Source organism: Homo sapiens, chromosome X (genome assembly GCF_000001405.40).
Source record: "Homo sapiens chromosome X, GRCh38.p14 Primary Assembly".
Lineage (NCBI taxonomy): Eukaryota > Metazoa > Chordata > Mammalia > Primates > Hominidae > Homo > Homo sapiens.
The window spans coordinates 123,743,730-123,753,161 of NC_000023.11; positions in this window are offsets into that span (position 1 = coordinate 123,743,730).

Sequence of the window (9,432 nt, forward strand, 5' to 3'; positions counted from 1 at the left end):
TTGCTGAGAGTCTCCTCTACAAAGAATGCACTCTGGGGACAATTACGAGGAATACAAATACCTTCACACTCTGGCCTACTCTAAGAGGCCCATCCATGTATCTCTCTCCTAAGCCTCCTCATCACCAAATTCTTACCTTGTTTTTTTCACACTCTTCACTAGCCAGCCAACTTATTAGCCTCTGCCCATGAATCTGCATAGATCAGTATATGAGGACATTTCTCTTTCCTTCAATGTAAACAAACAGATGTAATATTTGGGAAGATTTTCCTATACCTCCATCTTTAGGGGCCATTCCTGAGTGGGGCTATAAGACAACTGCTGCCCACTTCCAGCAGCTGCAAGCCAACTATGCAAACACATCCATAGACCCACAGACCTACAGTTTCTTGCTTTGTTAAATGGTCATAGAGAGCTCTCTTTGAGGCCATATATATGGACTTATGGAGAAGTAGTGGCAAGTACCATGAGAGTCTGAGCCACTTCCTCGTTCAGTTTACTTTTACCTTCCCACTTTTCTAGGATCCAATATTATATGCAATTTCTATTTAACAATGGAATGCTGCCTGCATATGGCCATTTGATGATTGAATGGGTTGGATAACACTCAGTTAATGATGGACAGTTCAAGTCACATAATTTCTTCGTGTTCCATAGTCAGAAATACAGTCATGGCCAGGAATGGTGGCTCACGCCTGTAATCCCAACACTTTGAGATGCCAAGGCAGGAGGATCACTTGAGGACAGGAGTTTGAGACCATCCTGGGCAACATAGTGAGACCCTGTCTCTACAAAAAAAAAATAAAAATTATCTGGGCATGGTGGTGCACACCTGTAGTTCTAGCTACTCGGCAGGCTGAGGTGGAAGGATCCCTTGAGCCCAGGAGTTCAAGGATGCAGTGAGCTATAATTTTACCACTGCTATCCAGCCTGGGCAACAGAACAAGACCCTGTTTAAAAAAAAAAAAAGAAAAGAAAAGAAAGAAAGAAAAGAAAAGAAAGAAAAAAGAAAAGGAAAAGGGGCCTAGTAGCAAACCAGGTGCTGCCTTTCAAATGGAGAATAATTGTCAAGCAAGGAAAGTATAGTCTTGGCCAGGTGCGGTGGCTCATACCTGCAATCCCAGCAGTTTAGGTGGCTGAGGCAGGCAGATTGCTTGAGCTCAGGAGTTCGAGACCAGCCTGTACAGCATGGTTAAACCGCATCTCTACAAAAAATACAAAAAGTAGCCAGGGGTCAGTAGTGTGCACCTGTAGTCCCAGCCACCCTGGAGGCTGAGGCGGGAGAATCACTTGAGCCCAGGAGGTGGAAGTTGCAGTGAGCCAAGATTGCACCACTGCACTCCAGCCTGGGCAACAGAGCCAGACCCTGTCTCAAAAAATAAAAAGGGGAAATATAGCCTTGCTTCAATCCCCTAAGATTCCATGCTGTGAGAATTGTAATGGGCTTCATAGAACGTCTCTGCCACACTCTTCCAAAACCATTCAGTCTGCTGAGTCATAAGGCCCAACCAACAGGGCAGCCCAGATTTGCTGCAGAGCCTTTTCTTACTTCAAATCTCACTCAAAACTGGCAGCCTTACAGGTTACTCAGTAAATAGGCCAGAGCAGCATGCCCAAATATGGTATACATTGCCACCTAAATCTAAAGAAGCCCGCAGAGGATTGGTTTCTTTCTTTGTGGTGGGCGATGCAGGGAAAAACAATTTGTCTTTTATTTTAGAGGAGGTATCCTGACATGCTCCAGACCACTGGACCCCTAGAAATGTCATCCATTTAGCAGACATCAGAACTTTCGCAGGATTTGTCTCCTAGCCTGTGACCACAAGTCAATTAGGGTGCTTGATTGTTGCTGCTCATAGTGATCATTATCATTATGTCATCAATGTAATGGACCAGCATTATGTCTGTGGGATGAAAAGACAGCAGTTCCTTTTGGAATAGATTATGACAGAAAACAACATAGTTTAAGATAGCCCTGAGGTAAGAGAATGAGGATAAACTGTTCCTGATTATCTTTGCTGATAACATTTGCTAGGGAATTAGGTGCCAGAGGCGACGTTCATTTGCTCCAGTAAATGGGAACCACAGCCATGACTGGCATCATTATCTGACTAACAGTAGCTCACAATCATTTTCCAAAACCTATATGGCATTTTCCATAGGCCAAATGGGCCAGTTAAATGGGTAAGCAGTTGGAATCTTCACATTTCCATTTTTCAAGTCCTTGGTTTTGGTTCCAATCTCTCCCATTGTCTCAGGGATTTGGTATTGCTTTAGTGGTAGGGGTGAGAGGAGGATGTACAGTTAAAAGGGTTGCTATTTGCTACTTCCCTATAATAAGAGCTTTCCCTCTGTGGATATGTGGGTCAGAAAAACAATGTGTGGTGATTCTGCAAAGACGGGTGCAAGTTCCCACTGAATGGACTCAGACCAAGACTTTATTTAGCACCTGACTCAATAAATCCCCTCTCTGGTGATGGACGACAGTGGCAAACTATGTCTATAAGAATTAGCATTGGCCAGGCGTGGTGGCTCACGCCTGTAATCCCAGCACTTTGGGAGGCCGAGGAGGGCAGATCACGAGGTCAGGAGATCGAGACCATCCTGGCTAACTCAGTGAAACCCCGTCTCTACTAAAAATACAAAAAATTAGCCGGGCATGGTGGCGGACGCCTGTAGTCCCAGCTACTCAGGAGGCTGAGGCAGGAGAATGGCGTGAACCCGGGAGGCGGAGCTTGCAGTGAGCCGAGATCGCACCACTGCACTCCAGCCTGGGTGACAGAGCGAGACTCCGTCTCAAAAAAAAAAAAAAAAAAAAAAAAAGAATTAGCATCAATTCAGAAACAGGATCTAATAATTTTCAAATAGTTCTGGGTATTTTCTTTTTCTTGGTCATGGTCCTCTGGTAAATGGGCACAGGTCCCAGTCTGAGGGAGATTTAGAAGATTTGCAATATATATCTGTGATAGCATCACAGCTGAGTCCTTTCTCAGAGAGATCCAGCCTCCCTCTTAATCAATGGGCTCCAGATCTGTGAACTGGCTTAGTAGATCTGGGAACAGAGTAGGAGTTGAGGAGTCTGCAAAGTTTCTGCGTATCAGACCTAGAATTTTTCTGCTTCTGAAAGTCACACCTATTTTATTCCAAGGGAATTCCATAAATAATCAACCACTGCAACAGATGGAGGCAAAAACACTCTATTGCCATCCTATCCCTGCACTTTATTATGTTACTTGCACCCACCTTAGTTCTCAAAGTTAAGTACCATCACAGGCACTGTACCCTTTTGGACCCTATTGTTCCCACTGAAGCATCTCCCACCATTATCCCCGGCCTACAAAGGATATTCTATGGAGCTTTTCAATAATACTAATGCTCATCTCACCAATGTATTTCTTGATGCCTTATTGAAGAGAGTGCCCTCCCAGTAGGGTGACCAAGTTGTCCCAATTTTCCTGGGACTGTACTGCTTTTAAACTGAAAACGTCATAACCTAGGAAACCTGTAAGTCCTAGGTGAATCAAGACAGTGGGTCACCCCACCACCCAGTTCTTCTGAGAATATAGTTGGAAGTAGGCACTGAGCAGGTGGCATATAATAATCCCACTTTAACATTCCCTTCCCCTTGGGCATTTGAGCATCTGGGCTACACTAAGATCTTTTTGTTTTTGTTTATTTTTTTTTCTGTCACCCAGGCTGGAATGCAGTGGCATGATCTTCGCTCACTGCAACCTCCACCTCCTGGGTTTAAGCAACTCTCCTACTTCAGCCTCCCAAGTAGCTGGGATTACAGGCATCCACCACCTTGCCTGGCTAATTTTTGTATTTTTACTAGAGACAGGGTTTCACCATGTTGGCCAAGCTGGTCTCGAACTCCTGACCTCAGGAGATCCACCCACCTCAGCCTCCCAAAGTGCTGGGATTACAGGCGTGAGCCACCATGCCTGGCCATAAAAGGTTTTTACACAGGGGAAGCCTGGTACCCTTAGACAAGGAATATAGGGCTGCTTCTACTGGCAAGGAAGGGGAGTTGGGGGTTAAATTTTTCTCAGCCTCATCTGTTTATGCCCAAATAATTCCATCCAATGTGTTAGGGTCCTATTCCTTCCCCAGGAGTGCCTTTAACTTAGCCTAAGAGTCCTGGCAAGTCTTTACCTTTAATTGATGCCACACATCTGCAACATTTATAATCAGTCCTGGCCGGGTGTGGTGGCTCACGCCTGTAATCCCAGCACTTTGGGAGGCCGAGGCGGGCGGATCACCAGAGGTCAGGAGTTCAAGACCAGCCTGGCTAACATAGTGAAACCCTGTTTCTACTAAAAAAAAAAAAAAATACGAAAAATTAGCCAGGCATGGTGGAACACACCTGTAATCTCAGCTACTCGGGAGGCTGAGGAAAGAGAATCGCTTGTCATGCCATTGCCCTCCAGCTTGGGCACCAAAAGCGAAAGTCCGTCTCAAAAAAGTTAAAAAAAAATTATAATCAGTCCCTGAGCATGATCTTCAGGCTTATCTGTCCTGCAGCTCCAGGAGAATTAAGACTACTTTAATGCTGGCATTGTGGCTCTTTGATTTTCCATTGTGGTATGAGGTGTGCATTCAAGGCTTTCAGTTTGTCCTCTTTTCGATGTAAATTCTTTATGGTCATCAGAAACAGCCTTAGCCAAGTTAGCAATCACCATTGTCACCATAGGGACTAAGTGCTCTAGCCATTTCATTTTGCAAAGATTTGTCCTACAATTGCATCCCATTTGAAGCCACCATGGGTGATAATTTAAGTAATCACCATTCAATTCATGCCACACATTAAAAATGTCCCATTTCCCCTAGCAAAGAGGTCATCAAGCAGATAGCATTCTTTAGGAGGAAGAAGCAGAAATTAGGAGTGCAGCGAGTTTACTGGAAAGTGAAACTCGTGAAGGAAAAGAGGATCAGTAATCAGAGGTCTAGACACACAAAAAAATTAAACTTAAGTTAAACACAGGATTTCAACGTTCTTTTTTTTTGAAACAGGGTATCTCTCTGTTGCTCAGGCTGGAGTGCAGTGGTGTGATCACGGCTCACTGCAGCCTCAACCTCCTGGGCTCAAGCAATCCTCCTTCCTCAACCTCCTGAGTAGCTGGTACTACAGTGCATGTCACAGCACCTGGCTAATTTTTTTTATTCAGTCAGTGGTTCTCAAACTTTAGTGTGCATCAGAATCCCCTAGAAAGCTTATTAAAACAGACTGCTGGGCCCTACTCACAGGGTTTCTAATTCAGTAGGTCTAGGGTGGGGCTTGAAATGTGCATTTCTAACAGGTACCAGGTGACACTCCTGCTGTTGGTCTAGAGACAATATTTTGAGAACTGCTGCCCTAAACATTAGAAGTGGTTCTTAAAAGGCTGGGTGCGGTGGCTCATGCCTGTGATCCCAGCACTTTGGGAGGCTGAGGCGGGTGGATCACCTGAGGTCAGGAGTTCGAGACCAGCCTGACCAACATGGTGAAATCTGTCTCTACTAATAATACAAAAAATTAGCTGGGCGTGGTGGCGGACGCCTGTAATCCCAGCTACTTGGGAGTCTGAGGCAGGAAAATCACTTGAACCCAGGAGACAGAGGTTGCAGTGAGCCGAGATCACGCCACTGCACTCCGGCCTGGGCAACAAGCGTGAAATTCCATCTCAAAAAAAAAAAAAAAAAAAAAGTGGTTCTTAAAGTGAGATACTCCAGCAACCTACATCCGAATCACCAAGAACCCTGGCCTCCTGAGGTGTATGTTTTAAAGGAGAAGAGACACAATAAGCAATTAAACTAATAGAAATACAATGTCATAAAAATAAAGTGGAGCAAGGAGATGAAGAGTGATAGGGAATGCTATTTTAGACAGGGTGGTCAAATCAGGCATCTCTAAGAAGAAAACATTGGACAGAGACCTTAATGAACAGAGAGCAAGCTATTAATTATAATTCATGTCAATATGTTAATATGTGAGAGAAGAGTATTACAGGCAGAAAGAAAAATCACTGCAAAACCCATGAGACAGGAATATGCTTGGTATGTGTTCCTGGAATAACTCAAGGCCAAGAATTTGATTCTTTGTTCTTTCTGGTTCTTTGTGTTCTTTTCTCCCTGGGGTAATAAGCTTCAGTTTATTCTCTATCTCATAAATAGGGTCATACAATACATGCTGTTCTGCAACTTGCATTTTCCGTTAATGATAAATCATGAACATCCTTTCATGTCACTACATTTAAGATCTGCCTCATGGTTTATAAGAATTGCATAGTATTTCATAATATAAATGCACTAGGGATTTATTCGGGAAAAAAAATCAATTCTTCTTTTTTTGGAGACGGAGTTTCACTCTCATTGCCCAGGCTGGAGTGCAATGGCACGATCTTGGCTCACTGCAACCTCTGCCTCCCAGGTTCAAGTGATTCTCCTGACTCAGCCTCCTGAGTAGCTGGGATTACAGGCACATGCCACTATGCCCAACTAATTTTGTATTTTTAGTAGAGAGGGGGTTTCACCATGTTGGTCAGGCTGGTCTTGAACTCCTGACCTCAGGTGATCCACCCGCCTCGGCCTCCCAAAGTTCTGGGATTACAGGCGTAAGCCACGCACCCAGCCTCTGTGTATGTGTGTGTGTGTGTGTGTGTGTGTGTGTGTGTGTGTGTGTGTGTGTATGTGTATGTGTATATACATATATATATATGTAAATGAAATAGGGTCTCACTATGGCCAAGCTAGTTTCAAACTCCTGGTCTCAAGCAATCCTCCGGCCTCAGCCTCCCAAAGTTCTGAGATTTACAGGTGTGAGACACTGTGCCTGTCCTCAATTATTTCTTTAATCAGTTTCCCATAGAGGAATAGTTAAATTGTTTCCAGGTCTTAGCTATGACCCCAAAAATGCTGTAGCAGGCTGGGCGCAGTGGCTCATGCCTGTAATCCCAGCACTTTGGGAGGCCAAGGTGGGCAGATTACTTGAGGTCAGGAGTTTGTTACCATACTGGCCAACATGATGAAACCCTGTCTCTACTTAAAATACAAAAACTAGCCGGGCATGGTCGTATGCACCTGTAATCCTAACTACTGGAGAGGCTGAGGCAAGAGAATCGCTTGAACCCAGGAGGAGGAAGTTGCAGTGAGCCAAGATCACGCCACTGCACTCCAGCCTGGGCGACAGAGCGAGACTCCATCTCAAAAAAAAAAAAAAGAAAAGAAAAGAAGGCCGGGCGTGGTGGCTCACGCCTGTAATCCCAGCACTTTGGGAAACCGAGGTGGGTGGATCACGAGGTCAGGAGATCGAGACCATCCTGGCTAACACAGTGAAACCCCGTCTCTACTAAAAATACAGAAAAATTAGCCGGGCGTGGCGGCGGGCGCCTGTAGTCCCAGCTACTCCGGAGGCTGAGGCAGGAGAATAGCATGAACCCAGGAGGCGGAGCTTGCAGTGAGCCGAGATCGCACCACTGCACTCCAGCCTGGGCGACAGAGTGAGACTCCGTCTCAAAAAAAAAAAACAAAGAAAAAAAAAAAAGAAAAGAAAGAAATGCTGTAGCAAGTATGTGTATATGTGTGTGTATGTACTTGTTCATACATTCCTTTACACATTACAAATTTATTGAGCCGCTATTATGTGTTTGGTACTGTGTTATGTGCTGAAAATACAATGACTAACAAAACAGACATGATTCTTGCTCTTATGGAACATATAATCTACTGGGGAGAGTACCATACAATTAGTATATAGTAAAAAACTGTCTAAAGTTCTAGCAAGGTATGGCAGACACTGTTGTTCAGCGACCCAACTCTCACTCCCAGTCCCATTTTCCCCAGCCTCCTCCCAGCTAGAATACTGGCCAAAGAGACACAGTGGGTTGTGGTAGGCAATATAATGGCCCCCCAAAAGATGTACATGTCCTAGTCTCCAGAACCTGTGAATATGTTAGGTTACATGGCAAAGGGGAATTATGACTGCAAATAGAAGTAAGGTTGCAAACCAGGTGACCTTAAAATAGGGAGATCAGCTGGAATTATTCAGGTGGGTCCAAAATAATCACAAGAGTCCTTAAATGTGGAAGACAGCTGGCAGCAGAAGAGTCAGAGAAGGAGATGTGGTGATGAAAACAGAAGTCAAAGTGATGTAGGCTGGGCGCAGTGGCTCACACCTGTAATCCCAGCACTGTGGGAGGCCAAGGCAGGAGGATCACCTGAGGTCAGGCATTCGAGACCAGCCTGGCCAACATGGTGAAACCCTGCCTTTAGTAAAAATACAAAAATTAGCTGGGCGTGGTGGTAGGCACCTATAATCCTAGCTACTTGGGAGGCTGAGGCAGGAGAATTGCTTGAACCCGGGAGGTGGAGCTTGCAGTAAGCTGAGATCTTGTCGTTGCATTCCAGCCTGGGCGACAGAGCAAGCCTCCATCTTAAAAAAAAAAAAAGGTCAAAAGTGATGTGATTGTGATTGCTGTTGCTGGCTGTGAAGGTGGAAGGGAGCTACCTGTCAAGGGATATGGGCACCCTTGAGAAGCTGGAAAAGAAAAGGAAACCAATACACCCCCAGAACCTCCAGAAGGCACACAGCCCTGCAGACACTGTGATTTTAGCCCAGAGAGACCCATTTCAGACTTCCGACATCCAGAACTGTGAGATATTAAACCTGTGTTCTTATGGCCGGGCTTGGTGGCTCACGCATGTAATCCCAGCACTTTGGGAGGCCGAGGCGGGCAGATCACCTGAGGTCGGGAGTTCAAGACCAGCCTGACCAACATGGAGAAACCCTGTCCCTACTAAAAATACAAAAATTAGCCGGGCATGGTGGCGCATGCCTGTAATCCCAGCTACTCGGAAGGCTGAGGCAGAAAAATCGCTTGAACTCAGGAGACCAAGGTTGCTGTGAGCTGAGATCGCGCCATTGCACTCCAGCCTGGGCAACAAGAATGAAACTCTGTCTAGGCCGGGGTGCAGTGGCTCACGCCTGTAATCCCAGCACTTTGGGAGGCTGAGGCGGGTGGATCACGAGGTCAGGAGATTGAGACCATCCTGGCTAACATGGTGAAACCCCATCTCTACTAAAAATACAAAAAATTAGCCGGGCGTGGTGGCGGGCACCTGTAGTCTCAGCTACTCGGGAGGCTGAGGCAGGAGAATGGTGTGAACCTGGGAGGCGGAGCTTGCAGTAAGTGGAGATCACACCACTGCACTCCAGCCTGGGCAACAGAGCCAGACTCCGTCTCAAAAAAAAAAAAAAAAAGAGTGAAACTCTGTCTCAAATAAATAAATAAATAAATAAAATAGAATAAGTAAATAAATAAACAAACTAACTCGTGTTCTTTTAAGCCACTAAGTCTATGGTAGTTTGTTACAGCAGTCATGGGAAACGAATGCAGGGGTTCTTTGGGAAAACTTTTGCTTTCCTGAGAACAGCGCTGTCTCTAACTCTTCTTT